The sequence below is a fragment of the Homo sapiens genome, chromosome 9 (genome assembly GCF_000001405.40).
Source record: "Homo sapiens chromosome 9, GRCh38.p14 Primary Assembly".
NCBI lineage: Eukaryota > Metazoa > Chordata > Mammalia > Primates > Hominidae > Homo > Homo sapiens.
The window spans coordinates 77,369,201-77,395,176 of record NC_000009.12 but is presented as its reverse complement, the minus strand read 5'-3'; the positions used below and the strand labels follow the sequence as shown (position 1 = coordinate 77,395,176).

The 25,976-nt window shown below is 35.4% G+C and overlaps 1 protein-coding gene across 4 annotated transcripts in view; it reads right to left on the bottom strand.

The window, feature by feature from the left end:
• The window catches only part of VPS13A (vacuolar protein sorting 13 homolog A), a 244,004-nt gene that overhangs the window by 26,361 nt on the left and 191,667 nt on the right, over positions 1-25,976 (bottom strand). For 2 of the 4 annotated variants that reach the window (NM_033305.3, NM_001018037.2), the window contains 6 exons: positions 25,765-25,878; positions 24,845-24,920; positions 24,599-24,762; positions 24,242-24,287; positions 24,028-24,151; positions 13,090-13,201 (listed from right to left, as the gene is read on the bottom strand). In NM_033305.3, coding sequence (NP_150648.2) covers positions 13,090-13,201; positions 24,028-24,151; positions 24,242-24,287; positions 24,599-24,762; positions 24,845-24,920; positions 25,765-25,878 — 636 coding nt within the window. Of the gene's footprint in view, positions 1-9,985; positions 10,593-12,170; positions 12,899-13,089; positions 13,202-24,027; positions 24,152-24,241; positions 24,288-24,598; positions 24,763-24,844; positions 24,921-25,764; positions 25,879-25,976 lie in introns of those variants that run through there. The other 2 variants (NM_015186.4, NM_001018038.3) reach the window with 2 other exon arrangements.

Here is a 25,976-nt window from a genome sequence, read left to right as displayed (position 1 = left end):
TAGAAACGACCAAGCTTAGTGAGAAAGACATGTCAAAAGCTGAGTTAGACTGAAAGGTAGTACCTCTTGTACCAAACAGCCAATCTTGAATGCAAAGGAAAAATTCTTGAAGGAAAGTATTATGAAAGTGTTACTCCAGTGAACACAAGAATTATAAGAAAGCAAAACAGCCTGATTGCTGATATGGAGAACGTTTTAGTGGTCTGGATAGAAGATAAACCAGCCACAACATTTCTTCAAGCCAAAGCCTAATCCAGAGCAAGGCCCTAACTATCTTCAATTATATGAAGGCTGAGAGAGGTGAGGAAGCTGCAGAAGAAAAGGTGAAGCTAGCAGAGATTGGTTCATGAGGTTTAAGGAAAGAATTCACCTCCATAGCATAAAAGCACAAGGTGAAGGGGCAAGTGCTGATGCAGAAGCTACAGCAAGTTAGCCAGAAGATCTAGCTAAGATCACTGATGACAGTGGCTACACTAAACTACAGATTTTCAATGTAGATGAGATAGACTTCTATTGAAAGATGCTATCCAGGACTTTCATAGCTAGAGAGAAGTAAATGCCTGGCTTTAAAGCTTCAAAAGACAGTCGGATTCTCTTGTTAGGGGCTAGTGCAGCTGGTGACTTTATTTAATTTCTTTAGAGACATGGTCTTGCTGTTTTGCTCAACCTGGACTTGAAGTTCTGGGTTCAAGGGATCCTCTTGCCTCAGTCTCCCAAATAGCTGGGACAACAGGTGGCTGCCGCCATGCCTGGTGCAGCTGGTGACTTTAAGTTGAAGCCAAGACTCCATTCCAAAAATCCTAGAGCCCTGGCCACATGAGGCATCTCACGTGTATAATTCCAGCACTTTGGGAGGCCATGGTGGGCGGATCGCTTGAGCACAAGAGTTCAAGACTAGCTTGGGCAACATGGTGAAACCCCATCTCTACAGAAAAAAAAAAAAAATTAGCCAGATGTGGTGGCACATGCCTGTAGTCTCAGCTACTCAAGAGGCTGAGGTGGGAGAATCAACTAAGCCTGGGAGTTCGAGGCTGCAATAAGCCAAGGCCATATCACTGCACTCCAGCCTGGGTGACAGAGTGAGACTCTTATCTCAAAAGAAAAAAAAGTGCCGGGTGTGGTGGCTCATGCCTGTAATCCTAGCACTTTGGGACGCCGAGGTGGGTGGATCACCTGAGGTCAGGAGATCGTCCCCAGCCTGGCCAACATGGTGAAACCCCATCTCTACTAAAAATATGAAAATTAGCCCATGTTGTGGCAGGCGCCTGTAATCCCAGCTACTCAGGAGGCCGAGACAGGAGAATTGCTTGAACCCAGGAGGCGGAGGTTGCAGTGAGCCGAGACTGCACCATTGCAGGCTACCTGGGTGACAGAGCGAGACTCCGTCTCAAAAAAAAGAAAAAGAAAAAATCCTAGAGTCCTTAAGAATTACTTAAAGTTTACTAAATATTTTAAGCCCACTGTTGAGACCTATCGCTCAGAAAAATATTACTGCTCATTGACCATGCACCTAGTCACTCGGGCTCAAGAGCTCTGATGAAGATGTACGAGATTAATGTCATTTTCATGCCTGCTAACACAACCATCCATTCTACAGCCCCCATGGATCAAACAGTAATTTCAACTTTCAAGTCTTATTATTTAAGAAATACATTTTGTTGGGCTGCCACAGGGAGTGATTCTTCTGATGGATCTGGTCAAAGTAAATTGAAAACTTATGGAAAGGATTCACTATTCTAGATGCCATTAAAAACATCTGTGATTAATAAGACGAGGTCAAAATATCAATAGTAACAGGAGTTTGTCTGGAAAAAGTGGATTGCAACCATCATGGATGACTTTGAGGGTTCAAGACTTCAGCGGAGGAAGTAATTGCAGATATGGTGCAAATAGCAAGGGGATTAGAAGTGGAGCATGAAGAGGTAACTGAATTGTTACAATCCTATGATAAAACTTGAACAAAGGAGAAATTGCTTCTTATGGATAAGCAAAGAAAATGGTTTCTCCAGATGGAATCTATTATCGGGGAAGATTCTATGATTGTTTAAATGACAACAAAGGATTTAGATTATTCCATAAAAATAACTGATAAAGCAGCAGTAGGGTTTGAGAGGACTGATTCCAATTTTGAAAGAAGTTCTATTGAGGGTAAAATGCTATCAAACAGCATCACATACTACAGATAAATCTTTCGTGAAAGGAAGAGTCAATCAATGTGGGAAACTTCATTTTAAGATATTACCACAGCTATCCCAACCTTCAGCAATCCCTATCCTAATCAGTCAGCAACCATCAACACCAGGCATGCAAAAAGATGGACTCACTGAAGGCTTCAGATGATCAGGATTTTTTTTTTTTTTTAGCAATTATGTATTTTTAAATTAAGGTGTGTATATATATAGTTTTATATAGTTATATATAGTTTTATATAGTTATATATAGTTTTATATAGTGTATATATAGTTTTTTAACGACGTGATTGTACATAATAGTCTACATTATAAACATAATTTTTATATGCACTGGAGAACAAATATATGCGTGTGACTTGCTTTGTTGCCATATTCGCTTTATTCTGGTGGTCTGGAACTGAACGTGCAGTATCTCTGAGGTATGGCTGTACATACATTACCTCATTTGTTCTAACCCTAGCAACAACACCAAGATAAGCACTACAATTATCTCTCTTTTACAACCTGGAAACTGACGTCAGATAAGCATAATAAAAAATAATAACTCTAGTAAAAGGAAAAAGGCTACAATTGAACTCAGGTTTACTTGGCTCCAGAGTCCAGGCCCTTAGGCACAGGGTATTGCTATATCTCAAAATAATTTTTATTAACAAAACGAGTTAGCACAGAAGAACTATATATATTCCAGTAGACTCAGTGGGATCTCATTTTAACCGTTCATTGGTATATGGATTTAGATATCTCACAAACTGTTATCATGTCTCTTGCAATGCTTCAAGTTCATATAATACCTAGGGATCACTGTCTCTGTGGAAGATGGGTCATATTTTAGGTGTCTCTGATTCCTAATGTTCTTTACAGCCTTGCATATACCGGCTAAACAACAAACAGGAATGAGAGTGTGAAGATCCGACATTACAGGGTTGGCCTCTAACGTGGCATGTGTTTTATGCCCCATCACCAGAACAATAAAGCTCATTACAATTATAAACTCATGAGAGATGAGCAGGAACCTTCAATACTCTCTTCAGGGCTGTAACTCTACTATCTACAAGAGTGTCTGAACACATAATGAACAGAACTGAATTTGTTTGTAGAACAAATGAATACATGGCATTAATTCTTTTCTTTGTATTCATATAAACTATGCTACCAAATAAAGCCAGCAAAAATTCAATTTTATATATCTATATCTATCCATATATTTTATTCTTTTGGCAACTTATTCCATAAAGATTAACTTTACATGAAATGTTCAATCTCCCATATTTGTATTCCAACACTGCATCTTCATAAGATCTCTAACTCAAACTACTTAGACTTGAAGTACCACAGAAATGTCTAAATCTATATTTCTTTATAGTGCTTCCGTAGGGTTCTTTACAGTGATAAATTTTCACTGAAAAATTACCATTACAATTCATTAGAGTCATCATTAGAAGTGACTAGGATATCAATTTCATTTGAATTTAAAACAAAAGATTCTTAACTGACAAAAACAAAACACCAAAAAACATGGTGCTTCCTTTAATAGATGGCATTAAATTGTGTTTTTGGATGAGTGAAAAGAGGCCTCTAATCTGATTTTGCATGATAACTTTCATTCGGCAAGTGAATGTATCCTTTCACAGGACATTTGGCTAATAAAAAATAGACTTTTCATAATGTATACTAGTTTTCTAACAATGTTATTGTTACAGCATGCACGTACACACACACAAATATTTCTGAATGAGCTTTACTACACTCACCTTATGCTGAGAATCTTTGTGTCCAAGGTAACTAGGGAAAGTTACTAGGTAGAGCTCTATCACATCAGTAGAGAAATCATGAGTTGAGTCCTGTATCAGAATTTAGCAACTTTGCTTAATTAAGGCTGAAGACCTTCTAGCTAATACTTACTGCACTTTTAGCTGTATTGACAGATCTTTGATTAAAAAGATGTAAGACTCAAATTGAACGTACCTGGGCTTAACATTTGAGGATTTCTTTTAATGTTATAATGTATTGAATTTTCTATTACAGTAGCATTTATCCTTTCTTAATATATTTACAAATTTAAGGGATGCAATGATGACAAACTGAAAGATCTAGAAATCAAATTAGTCTCATTTAAGTTCCTGAATTAAAAAAGAGAATTAGGCCAGACGCAGTGGCTCATGTCTATAATCCCAGCTACTTGGGAGGCTGAGGTGGGAGGATCACTTGAGCCTAGGAGTTCAAGGCTGCAGTGAGCTATGATTGCACCACTGCATTCCAGCTTGGGCGAGAGAGTGAGACCTTGTCTCAACAACAAACAACAACAACAACAACAACAACAAAAAGAGAGGGACGGGGTGGGGGGAGGGGTGGCGGGCGGTGGGAAATGAATAAATTTTACACTTGAGATGAAAGAAAAAACCTGAACCTCCACGAAGTGGAATCATCACCACCAGAGGAAGACATAATTTATTTCAAAATCTTATTCTAAAATTATTTTTATATAACACTGGAAGGTTCTAAGTGGGGTTCCTTACTCTATTTTGGACTCTACTGGTCCAAAATATAGTGGTACACACTATTAAATGTTCAACATTTGGGCCTTTGGAAATAATGTGACAGTCTCTCCAAGAGATTCCTGCTAAACTAGTAAGGTATGATAATTGTATCCAAAAATCCATGGAAATCTTTTCCATGAAATCTGCTTTATTTGAGATGCTAAGAATTCTAATTTGCCTGGATAACACAATTTGGCTCTCTTCAGTGTTCTCATCCCATTCAGAAGTATCCTTCTGGAGAGGAAGAGCTATAAAATGAAGAGTGAAGTCCAATAGCCTTTGTCTCCTAGTTCTTGTCCACTTACTCAAATTTTCAGATGAAGCCAGGAAGTGTTCGGCACTACTCTGGTGATCTGACTGCTATAGTAAGACCTTTCTTCCAGATTAGTAGTCATTCTCCTCCTGAAGTAAAGGGAAAGACCACGTCGGCTGACGGCAGTTATCTTCCAATTGCTATTAAGGCAGTGTTTGAAGCTAATTATAAACATCTGTAATTTCTGAAAGAAAAGAAATATACAAGACACAAAAACAGCCTCCCTTCTGTAACAACTTACATGACGGCAGTTATAGAATCCCTGTAAAAGATTCAAAGACAACATAGATAAATTCAAAAATACCTGAAATGTTTAAGAACACACTATACTACACCCACAGGACAACAACTCAGCTGTCAACATTCAGACACAATGAAGGACACAGGAATCATACACACACATACCCATGCAAACACATTTTAAAAGATTTACTTAAAGGGAAGAAATGTTTTTAAAAAAGTATAGAGTCAAAAGGTAGAAATGTTTAACGAAAAAGAAAAAAGCTTCTACATCAGGTATACAAACAAAAAGCCGAGAGCAATGGATCACGTCTGAAATCCCAACACTTTGGGAGGCTGAAGCGGTAGGATCGCTTGAGCTCAGTTCAAGACCAGCCCGGGCCACATAGCAAGACCCTGTCTCTACGAAAAAATTTAAAAAATTAGCCTGGCATAGTGGTGCATGCCTGTAGTCCCAGCTACTTGGGAGGGTGGAGCAGGAGGACTACTTCAGTCCATAGTTTGAGGATACAGTGAGCTTATTCAAGCCACTGCACTCCAGCATGGGCAATGGAGTGAAACTCTGTCTCAAAAAAAAAAAAAAAAAGAGTTCTGCTTACTCTTTATGTGCTCCATAAATAAAGACTAGGTTTCCCAATTACGGATATTTCTGAGTGGTATGCTTTTTTAATCTTTAGAAGTTAATAATGCTGCTTATAAAAATACGTAGTAAAACATAAAATGGCAATTTATACTTTTGAGTCATAACCAGGTGAATAAAAAATTTAAAAAGGAAATATACCATAAATGGTGGGGAGACAGGATAATTGTTTCCTTTTCTATAGTTTCCTGCTTTTCTCTAATGAGCATACTTCAATGTAGAAAATAATCTATTTAATGTAGAAAATAACTAATGTTGAAAAATTTCGTATCTTTATAAAATACTAAAGTTGTCAACTGAGAATCAATGTCAGCAAATGGATCCACAGGTTTTTAGCTTTTTCCCTAGAAATGCAGGTCTGTAAAATTTTTAATTCATAGAAATGCCAAGTTTTATTGAATATACTCAGAAAACCTTTGTAGACATAATGTAGTTAACAGGTTACTGATAAATGATAATTTATAGTAGAAAAATATAACATGCCCAATTACGACAAACTGGGTATACTTAGCTAAATCTCTGACTATCCTGGTTGCTTTTAAAAAACAAAAACAATGCCTATAATATTTTCAGTGCTCATGTATTTGAGGATCTCTAAGATCCAGAAGAATAGCATAATACAATTCAGGAGAAATCTTTACAAGTTCATTGCTTAAAACATGTGTAAGCAATGAAGAAGATTCATCAAAAGCCAGTTTTATAACACTGTTAAACGTGTGTTTTAAAATTGATATTTGGAGGTAGACTGTTGCTATATATCGGTTGATATGGAATAATTGCTAAATAAATTTATCATACTTATTGAGAATGATAAATATTCTGCCACGTTAAAACAAACCGGACAATAAATCCCTATGAAAATCATAAATTATTCTAATTAGTTCTCTTAACACAGACCTATTTGAAATTATTTGTTTTACTTTCCTTTGATGGACTTTCTACGTTTTGTATAATGCTGGCTGTACTCACTGTACTTTATGAACTCACAAATTCACTCACTAATATTAATGATTAAATTAACAGTGTAAGCATTCTTAATTGATCTCCATTTATTCCAAAGGTGCTGGAATAAATTGACATTTTCACATATCCATCATCATTATTATTTGAGCTAAATAATGTGTGTACACTTAACATCACCTGATTTTGATCCATAAGACCCTTTACTATTTTGCAAGGAAATCTAAGAGACAAAAAGCTGAAATTTGAAGATGCAGTAGAAAATACGCAGTAACAGCTGGGATGGTTGTTTCTGGTCCTTCTCCCATCACCACAAAAAAGCTGAATGCAAAATTTCATTACAAGACTTAAATCAGACAAACTAGTAGCTACTATAGCAGTCATTTATAATCTTGAGACACAGAAACAACAGTATTTTTCACATTGAATATTGATGTCATAAGTATGCAGTGGCTCCAGGTGTACACTTAAATAACATGAACTTAAAATCAACATTCAACACTGCATCAGTGATATGTGTTTTGAATAGTTTCAAAAACAAATTTATAAAATACTGATTATTTTAAATAAGGAAACAAAATTTGACTTCCTTTTCTATAATACTGAAAATTGGCAATATTATTCTGAATTTACATTTGTTTTATTTATATCCCATGTGAGTACTAATTAATTTCATTTACAGGCTTAGATTATTTATCTATGGTTATGAGTGTCCACAATTACAGATTTTTACAAATTTTTCTTCCTGCCCGTTTTCAATATGTTATTCAAGCGTCAGGTAGACACAAAGGAAAATAAGGAATCTCCAGGTAATCACTCCTTCAGGGAAGTGAACCTTCCTTCCCATTTTCTATACATAAGCAATGATCGTGCAGAAATCTGGAACATAAATGAAGTTAAAGCATATGGAAAGGTGTGGCATTACATAATTTTCAAACAGCTTTCTCACTAGACTTTCCTGTTAGATACTACCATTTTAAAAGTTCTAGTTAATTATAGAACCATTGATAAACAAGAGTTCATCTTATTAAAATCCAAATATAAATTCATTTTCTATATATTTGATAAGAAATAAGAATATATTTTTGCCTAGATCCTCTATCTCCATCAAGAGAACAATGGTGTAAAACAAAAGAGCAATTCTGTCTTTTTTTTTTGCTTTTACTAGAGAAAAATTCAAGTTTTTTTTCAAAACTGGAACACAATTAATACCTGTCCTCAAGAGGTTTGAAAAGATAATTTCACTGTGGCAGAAAAACAAGGGCAATTACACTGTCAAAGAGCAGATCTCGGCTGGGTGCGGTGGCTCACGCCTGTAATCCCAGCACCTTGGGAGGCCGAGGCAGGCGGATCACGAGGTCAGATCGAGACCATCCTGGCTAACACGGTGAAACCCCATCTCTACTAAAAACACAAAAAATTAGCCGGGTGTGGTGGCAGGAGCCTGTAGTCCCAGCTACTCAGGAGGCTGAGGCAGGAGAATGGCGTGAACCCAGGAGGTGGAGTTTGCAGTCAGCCGAGATCGCGCCACTGCACTCCAGCCTGGGCGACAGAACGAGACTCCATCTCAAAAAAAAAAAATTAAAAAAAAAAAATAAAGAGCACATCTCATCTCTAAGGGCTAAAAACTGAAGAATGATGAAACTCTAAGACCACACAAGCAATGTTTACTAGTTACTAGCATATTATTTAAAATATTTTTACTGAAGAAATTTTAAATAAATGTAATCCTACCTCCAATTTTCTTTTCATGAAAATGGTAAATCACTGCTAAGATAACCACAACTTTTTTTTTTTCCGATAAATTCTTAAGGAATGAAAGGTTAAGATCATCTTTATGAATCCCATTCCATGAAATTAAGTGTCACAGGCCAAGCACAGTAAATTTGGGAAATGTCTTGCAAACAAGTAGTTTCCACAGTCTCTTTTACAAAGGCCTTGTGACTAGCAAAGTTGGAATGTAAGAAGCCAATGAAGAAACTTCCAGACTCTTCCTTCCTTAAGCATATACAAAATACAAAAATAGGCAGTATTCTTTCTAGATTTTAGAAGGAGCAGTAAGTTTTGTTTGATTTTGGCCAAGGGTGAGAGAGGAGTGGGTGCACAACAAATACAAAGTTGGTTTCCAATAAAGCAATGACTATTTTAATGGTCACTATTTGTATGTACTTATTCTAAAAAGATAAAAATACTGTGATTAAAACAATAATTGAATTTTTTGATGTTTACATAACAGTTTTTTAAAACAACTTTATGATGTTTACATATTAGTAAGTTTGTTTTCAAACAAATTTTACATACATAACCTTGATTTCTATTTAATTTGAATGAATTCTGCATAGGAAGAAATTTCAAAAAAGCTGATTTTTTTCAGTTTTTTTTGCAGTAATCTCAATATTTTCAAATTTAAAGTAGTCACTTTCAAAAAACATAGAGAATGATTTATAGAAATAAAACTTGATAAACCTAAGAATTAGAGGAGACTCAGAAATCATGTGCTGAATCAGTTAAATTAAATCACCTGTTGCTTATACTGAGCTTCTGCTGTAGTCAAGATAAATATTCCTTTGTTGATCCAAAAGCACAGCAGTCATAGGGATTAAACATTCTAACTACCAAAGATCATATACTTTTTAGAGAATTTTTTAAAGTACGTCTGATATGTTAGAGAAATAGGACAGTTTCATCTATGTTGAAATTTTTTTAAAAACCTTTATTACACAAAACATAAAATAGATTTACTAATGGATCTTTCAGAGATATATGTAACATTTTCCCTAATATTACACAGAAAAAATATATATAGTTATGTTTACGATAGAAGTTTCCAAATATTCTGAATTCATAATAGAAATATAGTAGATGCATATACAAATTAATAAGTGAATATAATGACTATTAAAACCAACTTTGTTCATTGTTTCACAAAAAATATGTGAAACAAAACGGTAAAAAGTAAAGCAAAGACATAAAAGAACGGTCTTTTTCATTCTCAGACTATAAATTATTTTACTATCTACTCTTCCATGAGAGGCCATGACTGTTTTTTATAATAGCAGTTCAATCTATATGATTTGGGGATAGAACAACAAATTCACACTCCTTTAGATTACATATGTTTATTATTATTAAAAGAAATTTGACAAAAATATCTTTAAAATGATAAATATAAAACATTAAATGGCTATTACTATTTTCTTCCTTTTTTTTTACACAGTGGCATTACATTAAAGCCCAGAAAATTTACAGAGACCATTAAAAAAAGGCATTTTGCTAACAAATAAGAAGGCAATTTAAAATAAAACCAGTGAACATCAAAATTATATTTAAGTCTAACTTGAACTCTTAAAGACAAACTATGCAATACAAAGCTATAAAATATATAAAAGCAAATCTATAATATGTTGGATGCCCTCCCTACTTTGGATGTAAGATACATTTTTTTCTGTGCTTAAATAATACAATTATTTTGCTTTATGAAAATGTGTAGGAAAACATTTTAAAAGAAAATGTGTTTTACCTCCCTATAAATGGACATATGGGCATTATGGTATAAGTCATACAAAACATGTTAATGAAACATTCCAAGTAAAATAAAGAACATATGAATTTTAATGGTTTAGATCTGACTCATCATCATCATCATCATCATCATCATCATCACTACTGCTACTGTGAGTCATAATCCACTCCCTGTAGAATTGAATTTTCTGTAAGCATGGCAAAGGAAAAAAGAAGCACAAAGGTTAGTAGAGTATGGCAAATTGCTTGAAAACATGTAAGATTATGAAATGTTCAAAGAGTGAGAATAATTTTAAAGCAGATTTTTTCAGCTATGACTCAGACTGTAATTATGGATATAATATTCCATAACTTAATAGACCTAAGACAATTCCACTAGTTGGTACAAACTCAATGTATAAATTGGTTTGATGATATCAATAAGGTATTTTGTGAATATATTAAAATTACCATTCTATTTCTCTAATAGGCAACTTTGACCAGCAGGAAACACTGTAATAATGTGCTACCTTCTAGATAGAAAGGTACACAATAAAAGAATGTATTTTATATTTAATTATTATATGAGTGTATATAATTTAGTGAATACATCTTTTTTAGAAAATAAGAAAATAACATGAGAAACATTTGAAAGTATCAAATATTTTAAGGCACCTTCATTATATCACTTACATAAAATCTAGGCAGATGAGATGGATTTTAAATCCAGTTTATGTGTCATCTAATTATTTTCCACAGTACTGGTATTTACATATTTTTTAAGTGTTTGCTAATAATACACTAGAGCTTTGATTAAAAAAAAAAAAACAAAACCCACCACCATCAAAACAACAATCCACTTTTTATACCTGTAAGAAAAAAATGCTAACTGCAACATCCCAAGGTACTTGGTGAATCCCTACAAATATTTCAGCTAATACTGTGTAAATGCTTGCTGAAAAACAAGTAATGGCTGACAAGTGCTGTGGTTTTTAGTCATTTAAATAGCTCTTTTAGTGATTAATGATGAGACTGACCTATTAAAAATAAATATGTATCTTTAAAAGTACACAGTCAAAAGTCATGTTTTTACATCTCAAAGTTTAAAGCTTCAGAAAACAATGAGAAGCTTCACTAAAATCAAATTATCAACCATGAGAAATTATTGGTATCTCATGGCTTCCTTGTGGGTATCATAACGTGCTCACTTATAATGAGGATATATTCCTAAACTCTCCTCAACACTCATCCTTACTTCGTACTATATTTGATTTTTAGTCTAGTAAAATGTTAGTAACTTGTTAAATGCGTTCTAACAAGGGAAGGCAGGTATTGGGTAGAAATACATGTTTTGACTGTATCAGCCATGGGTGACTTCTGCAAATTTACTATCTTCCAAAGAACGATACACTGTCATTGTAGAGACTGCACAATCTGTCCATTAGAGCACAACCTCTTAATAGATTACCAGTTCTATCCCAATATACAATGATTTTGATGCTTCAAAAACATTTTAAATACAGTATAAAATCACTTAACTAAATATTGCATATTAACTCTATGGTTACATTTTTGTATATTAGAAGCCTCAGAGAAAGAGTTAGAAGTATATTTTATGCAATACTATATGCCCTGCAATAGGTAAAATACTGAAGTTTAAATCTTTACTCTGATCACATTAAATATCACAATATTTAAAATATTAAAGCCATAAAGGAAGCTTCATATTCCAACAGTTTATTGCTACCATGAGTATCTGCAAGCCTACATAACATAATGATTCCTTGTTTGTTTTCAAACAAATGATTTAATTTAGTATTCCACCTCTAAACCACAGAAACAACATGACACTGGTATAGCCTATATATGATTACTAGTTACCTACAGCATAATCCAGGTTTTAAAAAGTCGAATTTACCAAGTAAGAAAGTTGTCTAAGCAGATTCTAACTTCAAACTGTCTATTGTTCCAGATGCTACTTTGTATTATTAAAAGATACTGGTTTGCATGTGAACTGCTTATCAAATCCCACAAGTTTTATAAAGACTACACTAGAATAAAGCAGGAAGAGGGTCATGGCCATTTAAGCATTTTCAAAGGCAAAGCACAAGAATCCAAGAGTAATTCACAATAGCAGTGTTCCTGAGTTTTGCTTTTCCTTCTTCATGTGTAATTGGATATAAGGATTATATATCTGGTATAAAAGCTACCAGTGGTTTAATAACCCCACAACAGAAATGGTTTAATTGGTTAAGTAAGTACCACCAATGACGAGGATACATAAGGTACAAAGGCTTCCAACAAATCTAGCAAATCCAGTGCAGAACTAAGAACACCCTATAAAAAAACCAGATTCATTAAAATTCCTATTAAAAGTTACCAATACAAAAGGTTTTCTTTGTATTCAAAATACTGAAACAGCTGTACGTAGTTTGTAAATTTTAAGACTAAAATCTACTGTTGGCTTTCACTTGCAAAGTCATGCATTAACTTTTCATATCAAACTTTTTGATGCCTGTAAAAAAGAAAAAAAAATCTTATAGTAAATAAATGTACTTTAAAATCTAAGTAAATATAAGAAACTTATAAGTGGAATTAAGCAAAATAGATAAAAGCCCAAATAATTTAATATATATTAAATGGCTACTTAAAAAAAATCTAACTTGACTAAATTAATCTTAATTTATAAGATAGCTCTTAATTTACCTGTAACATTTGATTTCCAGTCCCATCCCTCAACCTGTACGGTCTGATAACTCCATCTTCATTGAAGAACCGAGGAGGTCGCAGACTCTCCACTTCAGAAGTCTCTGTAGCTCTAGAGGAAAAAAAATATAACTTTATTTTAAAAATTATTCAAAAACTTGTAAATAAACTATAAAATGCAATTACTAAAAACAATCTTATTTCAGATTAAAAATATTACAACATTCTCTAATTTTAAATTGTTTTTGTAACATAAACAGTGTAAGTTCTCTAGAAAAATACAGAACTATAGAGAAGTTTAAGTCTCTAGAACTTTCTTTGTGATAATAATCACAATATTAGCAATTGTTGCTTTTTCTTTTCCTATTACGTTGTCTAGTTTCTTTAGTATAATGCTATAAACAAAAAGGGATTGCAAGCATCCTTGTCTCATTCCTGACCCTACGGAAAGCTTCTAAGAGTTTTCTGTGAAGTATAGTTATCAGCAACTTTTTTTTTTTAAAGCACCCCTTAACAAGTCAAGAAAGTTCATTGCTACTTTTAGTTTACCAACAGTTCTTTTTTGTTACTGTTTTTGAAAATCTTAAATAGGCAATGAATTTTAAATAAGAATTTCTTTTCTGGCATTGTTTTGATCACATGGTATATTTTCCTTAATCTATTAATGTTATAAATCACATTATATAGTTTTCTAATATTCAAATACTCTCACAGTCCTCACATTCTTACTGGGCTTGATGTGTATTACTGTAAACACATACCCCAATCCTGGGCAGCATACACTGCTCTACAAAAAAATAAAAAAACTAGTCAGACATGGTGGTATGCAGCAGAAGTCCCAGACACTCAGAAGGCTGAGGTGGGAGGATAGTTTGAGCCCCATGCCACTGCACTCCAATCAGGATGCCAGAGTGAGACCCTGTCTAAAAACAAACAAAAAACCAAAAAACACATACCACATACGGCTAAATTGTGTATGGTAGTATTATATTTAACATTTTTGCTTATTTGGTCATAAGTGACCACTCAATTTGTTCACTCAACAAGTATCACATATTCAACAAATATTTATTAAGAGGTCCCCAACCCATGGGACTTGAACCAGTACCGGTCCATAGCCTGTTAGGAACTGAGTCGTGCAGCAGGAGGTGAGTAGTGGCAAGCAAGTTTCACTGCCTGAGCTCCACCTCCTGTCATATCAGCAGCGGCATCAGATTCTCATAAGAAGGCGAACCCTATTGTCAACTGCACATGCAAGGGATCTAGGTAGCACACTCCTTATGAGAATATAACTAAAGCCTGATGATCTGAGGTGGAACAGTTCCATCCTGAAATTATCCCTCCTGTCTGGTCTGTGGAAAAATTGTCTTCCATGAAACCAGACCTTGATGCCTAAAAGGCTGGGGACCGCTAACATAATGTATACACATGCATGGGCATATACATATGAATAAATTCTCCAACTGAAAACAGAATAGGGCCGGGTGTGGTGGCTCATGTCTGTAATCCCAGCACTTTGGGAGCCCGAGGCGGGCGGATCATGAGGTCAGGAGTTCGAGATCAGCCTGGCCAATATGGTGAAACCCTGTCTCTACTAAAAATACAAAAATTAGCCGGGCGTGGTGGCATGTGCATGTAGTCCCAGTACTTGGGAGGCTGAGGCAGAAGAATCACTTGAACCTGGGAGGTGGAGGTTGCAGTGAGCCGAGATCATGCCACTGCACTCCAGCCTGGGCGACACAGCGAGACTCCATCTCAAAAAATAAATACATAAGTAAAAAAATAAAAACAGAATAGATAAAAAAAATATGATCTAACAATATACTATCCACAGGAGACCTGATTTAGAGTCAAAGACACAAACTGGTTGCAACTAAAAAGGAGAAAATATATGCAAAGTGAACAGTAACTAAAAGAAAGCTAAAGTGGCCATGCTAATGTCAGAAAAAAACAGCCTTTAAAAAAATTCTTATTAGACACAAAGAAGGGCATTTTATAAGGAAAAAAGGGTCAATCCATCAAAAAGATAAAAAATTATAAACATATAAGCAGCTAATAAAAGAAGCCCCAAATACACAAAACAAAAACTAAGAATTTAAAAGACAAAAAGGCAATACCACCATAATAGTTGAAGATTTCAGCAACCTACTTTCAAAAATGGATACCAACTAGATAAAAGATCAGCAAGGAAAAAAGAGAACTTGAATAACACTATAATCCACTAGACCCAACAGATGTCTATAGAACGTTCAAACCAACAACAACAGAATATATATTCTTCTCAAGTGCAACGGAACATTATTCAGTATTAGCTATCTATTAGGTCATAAAACATGTCTCAATAATATAAAATTACTGTTTGCTTCTTGGCCTTTTGGCTAACATTGAATGTAAATATAAAACTACTGAAAATAGGCCAGGCGTGGTGGCTCATGCCTGTAATCCCAGCACTTTGCGAGGCCGAGGTGGTCAGATCACTTGAGGTCAGGAGTTCAAGACAAGCCTGGCCAACATGGTGAAACCCCATCTCTACTAAAAATACAAAAATGGCCGGGCGTGGTGGCTCATTCCTGCAATCCCAGCACTTCGGGAGGCCAAGGCGGGCAGATCACCTGAGGTCGGAAGTTCGAGATCAGCCTGACCAACATGGAGAAACCCTGTCTCTACTAAAAATACAAAATTAGCCGGGTGTGGTGGCACATGCCTGTAATCCCAGTTACTAGGGAGGCTGAGGCAGGAGAATAGCTTGAACTTGGGAGGCGGAGGTTGCGGTGAGCTGAGATAGCGCCATTGCACTCCAGCCTGGGCAACAAGAGTGAAACTCTGTCTCAAAAAAAAAAAAAAAAAATTAGCTGGGTATGGTGGTGTGTGCCTGTAATCCCAGCTACTCAGGAGGCTGAGGCAGGGGAATCTCTTGAACCTGGGAGGCAGAGGTTGCAGTGAGCCAAAATCACGCCACTGCTCCAGCCTGGGTGACAAGAGTGAGACTCTATCTCACAAAAAAAAAAAAAAAAAAAAAAAAGGACTGAAAATATACAAGTATGATACCTGACCACATGGAAGAAAACTAGAAATGTGTAAATAAGAGAAATTTATGAAATTTACAAGTGTGTGGAAATTAAAACATAGAAGCATAAATAACAAAATGTCAAAGAAAAAAATCACAAAAGAAATTCACTACTTTGAAACAAATAAAAGCAAAAATACAACACACCAAAACTTATAAGATGCAGCAAAGACAGTGCTCAGAGGGAAATTTATAGATGTGAATGTCTACATTAAAAAAGAAGGTCTGAAATCAATAATATAACTTCACAAGTTGAGAAAGTAGAAAAAGCAAACTAATCCCAAAGCTAGCAGAAGGAAGAAAATAATAAAAATTAGAGCAGAGATAAAAGAAATAGAGAATAGAAAAAATAGAATCAATGAAACTAAAAACTGGTTCTTTGAAAAGGACAACAAAAATGACACGCCATCACTAAACTGACCAAGAAAAAAAAGAAGACCCAAATTATGAATAACAGGAATTAAAGAGGGAACACTACTACCAATCTTATGGAAACAAAAAATAATTATAAGGGAATACTAGGAATAAATACTATATAAGGGAAAAATAATTATATGAGAATACTAGTAAATATTTACTATGATCAATAAATATATATCAACAAATTAGAACATCTAGATGAATTGAACAAATTCCTATAAAAACTACTGACAATGACTCAAGAAACAGCCTAACTAGACCTTTACCAAGTAAAGAGAGTGAATTTGTCATTTTAAAACTCACCAGAAATAAAAGTAAGAATCAGACGGTTTCACTGATCAATTCTCCAAATTTTTTTTTTAATTAACATCAACGCTCCACAAAGTCTTCCAAAAATTTGAAGAGGAGGGAACACTTCCTAAATCATTCTGTGAGGACAATATTACCCTGATACCCATACCAGGCAAAGACATCACAAGAAAACCACAGACCAATATCCCTTATAAATATACATGCAAAAATCCTCAACAAAATACTATCAAACCAAATCCAGTAAAATATAAAAACGATTACACATTATGTCCAAATGGGATTTATCCCAGGTATGCAATATTAGTTTAAGATCTGACTCAATTAATGTAATATACTACATTAGTGAAACAAAGGAAAAACCAACTATCAACTTAATTATACAGAAAAAGCGTTTCATAAAATCTAACATGTTTTCATGATAAAGACACAAAAACCTATAGCTAACATCACATTTAATGGTGAACATCTGAAAGCTTTCCCCCTAAGATTAAAAGCAATATAGGCATGTCTATTCTCTCAGCACTTCTACTTCACATTGTACTAGAGGTTCTAGCCAGGACAACTAGGCAAGAAAAAAAGCATCCAGATCAGAAAGGAAGAAGTAAAGTTACCTCAGTTCTCAGATGATATACTCTTACATATAGAAAACCCAAAAGAATCCACAAAACCATTAGAGCTAATAAACAAGTTCAGTAAGATTGCAGAAACTCAAATATAAAGAAAAACAGTTGTATTCAACACACCAGCAATAAACAATCCAACAATAAAATTAAGAAAACAATTCCATTTAAAACAGCATACCAGCACTTTGGGAGGCCGAGGCGGGTGGATCATGAGGTCAGGAGATCGGGACCATCCTGGCTAACAAGGTGAAACCCCGTCTCTACTAAAAATACAAAAAATTAGCCGGGCGCGGTGGCGGGCGCCTGTAGTCCCAGCTACTTGGGAGGCTGAGGCAGGAGAATGGCGTGAACCCGGGAAGCGGAGCTTGCAGTGAGCCGAGATTGCGCCACTGCAGTCCGCAGTCTGGCCTGGGCGACAGAGCGAGACTCCGTCTCAAAAAAAAAAAAAAAAAAAAAAAAAAACAGCATCAAAAATACTTAGGAATAAGTTTTTAAAAAGAAGTATAAGACTCGTACATTACAAACTATAAAACATTATTGAAAGCAATTCAAGAAGACCTAAATAAATGGAAAGACGTTGCATTTTCACAGGTTAAAAGATAATACTGTTAAGATGGCTACACTCCCCAAATTGAACTACAGATTCAATGCCATCTGCATCAAAATCCTAGCTACCTTTTTTGTAGAAATTGACAAACTGACCCTAAAATTTTTTAGGTAACTTAATGACCATTTCTTTTTAGCCTCCTTTTCTGGGTCTTCCTCATTTCCCCAACTTCTAAGAGTTGGTGTGCCTGAAAGCCAAGTCCTTGGACCTTATTTTTCTCTTTTCAGTCTCATTCCCTTGGTGATCTCATCCAATCTCATGGTTTCAAATACCTTATTATAGGCTCACAAATCTTGAATTTTTACCTCTAGCTTGGACCTTTCTCTATACTTCAAACTCCTCTACTCAACAATAACGTGATGTCTCCATTTGGATGTCTAAGAGATATTTTAAGCTTAATATATTCAAAAGGAAATGTCTAATACCCTTTCCCTAAAAAGAACGACAACCTCACCCTTCCAGTACTACACATAAAAACTTTAGAATTATTCTTCACGATTCTCTTTCTTTCATATCCTGCATCCAATTTATCAACTAATGCTATTGCCACTATCTTTAAAATACATGCAGGACATAATCTCTAGTACTCTAATAGTCGAATCACCATTGTCACTCACTTGGATTACTGCAAAAGCCTTTTAAGTGTTGTTTCTGCCCTAATCCCCTGTGGTTACGCCTCAATGCAGCAGCCAGCTCACATCATTTCTCTGGCTTGAAACCTTTCAATGGCCTCTCATCTTAAGCAAAAGCCTAAGTCCTTACAGGGGCTTGCCGAGTTCTACGAGATGTGATTCCCCGCATGTTCCCTGGTAACATCTTCTTCAACTTTCCCCGTTCCTCACTCTACTCCAGGCAAACTAGTCTTGCTGTTTCTCAAATAGGCCAAGCACATTCTTGCATCAGGGCTTTTTAACTGCTGTTCCTTCTGCCTGGGACATTCTTCTCACATGGCTCACCCTTTACTTCTTTCAGGTCTCTCCTCAAATATAATCTTATGAGTTAAGCATCCCTGATCACTGAATATGTAAAATAGCAACCCTCCTCCCTACCATTTTGCATCTCCTTACCTCCTTTAATCTGCTTTATTTTTCTTCATGGCATTTTTCACCATTTAGCATATCATATATTTATCAGTTACTTATTTTTGTCTATTACTCTCCCACTAGAATGTAAGCTGTATGAACACAGGACCATTGCCAATTGTGTTCATTGCTGGTCCCTCAAGTGATTAGAGAAGTGTCTAGATCATAGACAATGCTCCCTAAAATGTGCTGAATAATTATTTATGTTTGTATTAGGTAGCTTGTTAACTCTATTCAGATAATTATTTACTTACTTTTATTTTGTCTTCCTGATCTATCAATTATTGAGAAAAATATTAAGTTCTTCCACCTTTGTTGTACATTTGAAAAGTTCTTACAGTTTTGTCAAGTTGTGCTTTTAAAAATTAAGGCTATTTTATGAACTGAGTAGAAGTTTGAAATTGTTACTATCTTCCTACTTAGTTCTTTTTATCATTACCTAATTACCTTATTTATCCCAAATAATGCTTTTATTGCCTTAATGTCTGTTTCACCTAATATTAGTAAATACATCCTCTTTACAAATAGGACAATATTTAATGCCAATCATTCTCTCCCCAAATTGCATTTTATTATGTTTTAATAATGTTTCCAATGTTGCTTTCATGTAGCTCAATTAGATTTATCCAATTTATATTTTTATCTTTGAATCTTGTAACCCATTCCTCCTTTTACTTTCAGTGTCTTTTTTCACAGGTACATCCTTCAATAGTTCTTAGTCTTTATTATTTTTTCTAAAAATGTTTCATTGTGCCCTCAATCCCTAAAGGTAATATACCTGGGTACAGAATTATAAGGTTTTAGATAAACAGAAGGTAATTCTAGCAGCTTTTGAAAGAAGCCTTCATATGTTTCAAATTCCTTACGTTTCATTGACTTTTGAGCTTCTCTGATGACTACGACTCAACACATTATATTTATGAAACTTAAAGTTACAGGTAGAGGAGAATGATTCCTTTTTCCCCCACCTTAATTCTAAATGCCGAAACCAGAAACACCCAATTATGGTAACCAGTATGAAATACTGGCTTAAGAGGAATAGCTCATATGATGACAATACATATCCCTATAGAGCAGAAAGCAAGAGAAAACACAAAGGAAAAAGATTAGGAAGACAGCCACCCACCTAACTTTCTAAGATGGGTCTAATTAACATTAATTTTATCATCTGTTATATGTGTTACAAATTTCTAAGACACAGGTAACAATAAAGAAACTACTAAATTTCACCCTTACACTAAATTTCATTTGGAGTAAAAAACAATGTGTATTAAAATTACCTGCATAAAGGAAGAGAAAGGATATGCATATACACTAGTATCCGCTTATCCACAGTTCTGCTTTCTGCAGTGTCAGTTATCCACAGTCAACTGTGGTCCAAAAATATTAAATGGAAAATTCCAGAAATAAACAATCCCTACATTTTAAATTGCATGCCATTCTGAGTAGTATGATAAAATTTCTTGCCACCCTGCTTTGTCCTTCCTGGGATATGAATCATCCCTCTGTCCAGCATATCCATGCTTTATACATCACCAGTCCATTAGTGACATAGTAGCTGTCTCAGTTATCATCCTGACTATTGCGGTATTACAGTGCTTGTGTTCAAGTAACGTTTATTTTACTTTCATTACAGTATATTGTTATAATTGTCTTATTTTATTATTATTGTTAATATCTTACTGAGCCTAATTTAAAATTAAACTTCATCACGGATATGTATGTACAGGAGAAAACACAGTATATATAGGGCTAAGTACTGTCCAAGGTTTCAGGCATCCACTGCAGATCCCTGCAGATCAAGAGGGACTACTATAACAACTTATAACAAAATAAGATAATAAAGGAAGGGTGAAGACAAACTGAGTTTGAACCAAGAAATACAAAATGCCATTCTTCATTTCATAAAAAGGATACAGATTATATTTGCTAATTTTATAATTGATATATAGCATTAATGTATTTAAACTAAGATAACTGAAAAGCTTGCTTAACTTGCCAAACTGCTCCTGCAAGCCTGCTAGGAATGAATGAAAAATAAAGGGGAACTTCATAAAGTTGAAACAATGCAATGGCAGCAACTTAAAAAATATCAAAATGAGTTTTTTGGCTGCATAAATGTCTTCTTTTGAGAAGTGTCTGTTCATGTCCTTCGCCCACTTTTTGATGGGGTTGTTTGTTTTTTTCTTGTAAATTTGTTTGAGTTCATTGTAGATTCTGGATATTAGCCCTTTGTCAGATGAGTAGGTTGCGAAAATTTTCTCCCATTTTGTAGGTTGCCTGTCCACTCTGATGGTAGTTTCTTTTGCTGTGCAGAAGCTCTTTAGTTTAATTAGATCCCATTTGTCAATTTTGGCTTTTGTTGCCATTGTTTTTGGTGTTTTGGACATGAAGTCCTTGCCCATGCCTATGTCCTGAATGGTAATGCCTAGGTTTTCTTCTAGGGTTTTTATGGTTTTAGGTCTAACGTTTAAGTCTTTAATCCATCTTGAATTGATTTTTGTATAAGGTGTAAGGAAGGGATCCAGTTTCAGCTTTCTACATATGGCTAGCTAGTTTTCCCAGCACCATTTATTAAATAGGGAATCCTTTCCCCATTGCTTGTTTTTGTCAGGTTTGTCAAAGATCAGATAGTTGTAGATATGCGGCGTTATTTCTGAGGGCTCTGTTCTGTTCCATTGATGTATATCTCTGTTTTGGTACCAGTACCATGCTCTTTTGGTTACTGTAGCCTTGTAGTATAGTTTGAAGTCAGGTAGTGTGATGCCTCCAGCTTCGTTCTTTTGGCTTAGGATTGCCTTGGCGATGCGGGCTCTTTTTTGGTTCCATATGAACTTTAAAGTAGTTTTTTCCAATTCTGTGAAGAAAGTCATTGGTAGCTTGATGGGGATAGCACTGAATCTGTAAATTACCTTGGGCAGTATGGCCATTTTCACGATATTGATTCTTCCTACCCATGAGCATGGAATGTTCTTCCATTCGTTTGTATCCTCTTTTATTTCCTTGAGCAGTGGTTTGTAGTTCTCCTTGAAGAGGTCCTTCACATCCCTTGTAAGTTGGATTCCTAGGTATTTTATTCTCTTTGAAGCAATTGTGAATGGGAGTTCACTTATGATTTGGCTCTCTGTTTGTCTGTTGTTGGTGTATAAGAATGCTTGTGATTTTTGTACATTGATTTTGTATCCTAAGACTTTGCTGAAGTTGCTTCTTAGCTTAAGGAGATTTTGGGCTGAGACAGTGGGGTTTTCTAGATATACAATCATGTCGTCTGCAAACAGGGACAATTTGACTTCCTCTTTTCCTAACTGAATACCCTTTATTTCCTTCTCCTGCCTAATTGCCCTGGCCAGAACTTCCGACACTATGTTGAATAGGAGTGGTGAGAGAGGGCATCCCTGTCTTGTGCCAGTTTTCAAAGGGAATGCTTCCAGTTTTTGCCCATTTAGTATGATATTGGCTGTGGGTTTGTCATAGATAGCTCTTATTATTTTGAAATACGTCCCATCAATACCTAATTTATTGAGAGTTTTTAGCATGAAGGGTTGTTGAATTTTGTCAAAAATGCTAATCATCACTGGCCATCCGAGAAATGCAAATCAAAACCACTATGAGATACCATCTCACACCAGTTAGAATGGCAATCATTAAAAAGTCAGGAAACAACAGGTGCTGGAGAGGATGTGGAGAAATAGGAAAACTTTTACACTGTTGGTGGGACTGTAAACTAGTTCAACCATTGTGGAAGTCAGTGTGGCGATTCCTCAGGGATCTAGAACTGGAAATACCATTTGACCCAGCCATCCCATTACTGGGTATATACCCAAAGGACTATAAATCATGCTGCTATAAAGACACACGCACACGTATGTTTATTGCGGCATTATTCACAATAGCAAAGACTTGGAACCAACCCAAATGTCCAACAATGATAGACTGGATTAAGAAAACGTGGCACATATACACCATGGAATACTATGCAGCCATAAAAAATGATGAGTTCATGTCCTTTGTAGGGACATGGATGAAATTGGAAATCATCATTCTCAGTAAACTATCGCAAGAACAAAAAACCAAACACCGCATATTCTCACTCATAGGTGGGAACTGAACAATGAGATCACATGGACACAGGAAGGGGAATATCACAGGTGGGGTGGGGGGAGGGGGGAGGGGGGAGGGATAGCATTGGGAGATATACCTAATGCTAGATGACGAGTTAGTGGGTGCAGCGCACCAGCATGGCACATGTATACATATGTAACTAACCTGCGCAATGTGCACATGTACCCTAAAACTTAAAGTATAATAATAAAAAAAAAAAATCAAAATGAATTAGGAAGACCATATGCAACCTGCCATATTGTAGTGCTGGTAACTGCTATGGTTTGAATGTGTCCCTCCAAGAGCATGTGTTGGAAACTTTATCCCCAGCCAGGAGGTGGGGCCTAATTAGAGGTAATTAGGCCATGAGGATCTGCCCCCATGAATGCATTAATACTGTTGCTGTGGGAGTGGGTTCCTTATAAAAGGGTGACTTTGGTTCCCTTTTTTCTTCTCTTGCCCTCTTTTTGTCCTTCTGCCATGGGATGACACCGCAAAAAGGCCCTAGCCAGATGTTGCCTCTCAATCTTGGACTTCTTAACTTTCAGAACCGTGAGCCAATAAATTTCTGTTCATTATAAATTACCCAGTCTGTGGTATTATGTGGTATGTTATAGCAGCACAAAACAAAGACAATAACTAAATGCCTGAAGCCAAAGAGCAGATAAATTCCATTTCTCATGGCTTCAGCATTTTAACTCATATCTTACACCAAAGAGGATTTACCTTTTTATTCCCTGAAATGTACTGCTAGCCATGTCTATGATGCCTCCAGTTGGCCTTGCTACCGCTCCTACTAAACCTTTCCCAACACCTTTAAAGAAACCAGCTGCTCCTCCTTTTTGAGCTCCTGGAAAGAAAAAAGAGTTTTTGACAATTGCATCCAAGAATGAAAACAGAATCAACTTAGAAAGACTTGCAAAGGAACTACTATACTTGCCTTTGATTGGTTTTGTAACAATTCCTGTTATGCCACTAACAAATCCCTAGAAGGAAAACACAACTGAAAATTTACAATACTTTTTTATGATGCCTAGAAGAACCAAGTTTGGATTACACAAAAAATACAGAGTTCTGCTTTTTATATAGCATAAGAATTAACAGATCTCCTAAGTATTTTATTTAAACAGAATGTTTTAGAGGCTACTGACATGTTTTATATGCTACCACCCACTGCTCTTAAAATATCCAAATAATAATTTAAGGAGTGAGAATCATGTCTATTTCCTTATTCGCAAATGTAGGTTTGTTTAAAAGATATTTCCCAAAATCTTCACAACCCTGTGAAATTTCTTACAGAAACTAAGCCTTTTCCTCCACGAGTGATGCCTTCTCTAAAACCAGCTGGTTGCTTATTCATGGCTTCTCTTCTCTTCTGTTGGTAGTCTTCATCCATGGTCATAGCTGCTACCCCCTTAGCCATAGCACCGGTGATTTTGGAGGCAGCACCAGCCAATCCACCTGACAGAAATTATCTTTAGTAAAAGTAATGATGCCATTACTTTCTAGCACAAAAATACTTGGTAGATATTCTGTTTCTTACCAACAGCTCCACCAACTAGTGCCTTAAGTCCTAGTGCCATTCCTTCCACAAACTCTTCAGGACCCTGGATGGCTCCCTAAAGGGCCAAATAGTAAATAAATGAGTGAGTGAGTTATATTCACTTTTAAAGATGAGCTTACGGATATATACGACGAAAGAGGTAGTAACAAAAATGGATAATGTTGTCCCAGAGGAAGTAATATCAGCAAAAAGTTTCACATTAAAAGAATTCCTAGGGATATTTCTGGACGCTGAAAGTGTGAAGGATATAATGTTAGACGCTGACCCTTAGAAAGGAGTACGGCAACTCACCAAAGTACAGAAAGGTGCTTGGTCCATATTGTAAGTTTATGAGCAAAATGCAAGCACAGTTCAAACTACTCTTGATAAGTCTTTAATAAAAATTTCAAATAAACACTTTAAAATTCTTAATGCTTTTAATGTTTTTAATTACAATGTGCAAAATTAATGTTAACTTTATTTTTTATTTCCCTATACATTTATACGTGGAAGTAGGAGTCTTTTGGGAAAAAGTTTTAAAGGACATAGAACAATCATAATTTTTCCCACTGATTTTTAAGATTGCTTGGCCAGGTGTCAGTTTGCATGATTATTTTTATAGTTCCACACTACTGTGCAAAGCAAGATGTGGTGATCTTCTTTCTACTTTATCCACCTTTTATATTCCAAGAGAACACTTACAATTCAGCGTAGCTTAACAAAATCTTAAGTTTAAATTTTGAGGAAAAGGGTAAAAATGTCCCCCAAAACCTCTTACCATTGTTTGCTGCAAAATGATGTCCTTTTGTGTGTGTTCCAAAATCTGTTTGCACTTATTAACTCAACTTAACAATAGAAAAGTATTATCTATTCAAAAGTATTAGTGACATATTGCACAACCACAAAAATAACTATTTTACCTGGTAAGGTTCATAAAAAAATGCTTCTACACCTTCAGAAAATTCTCTAATTAAGCCAAATGGATTTCCCAAAACATCAAGTCCAAGAATGAGTACATACATCTGCTTAATGGCCTAAAAATAAAATATGAACATTAATCAATTCAGATAATTAGATCTATTTTTTCTTATACATTATTTAAAACACACGCCCAGTTTTCTCAGGCCAACAC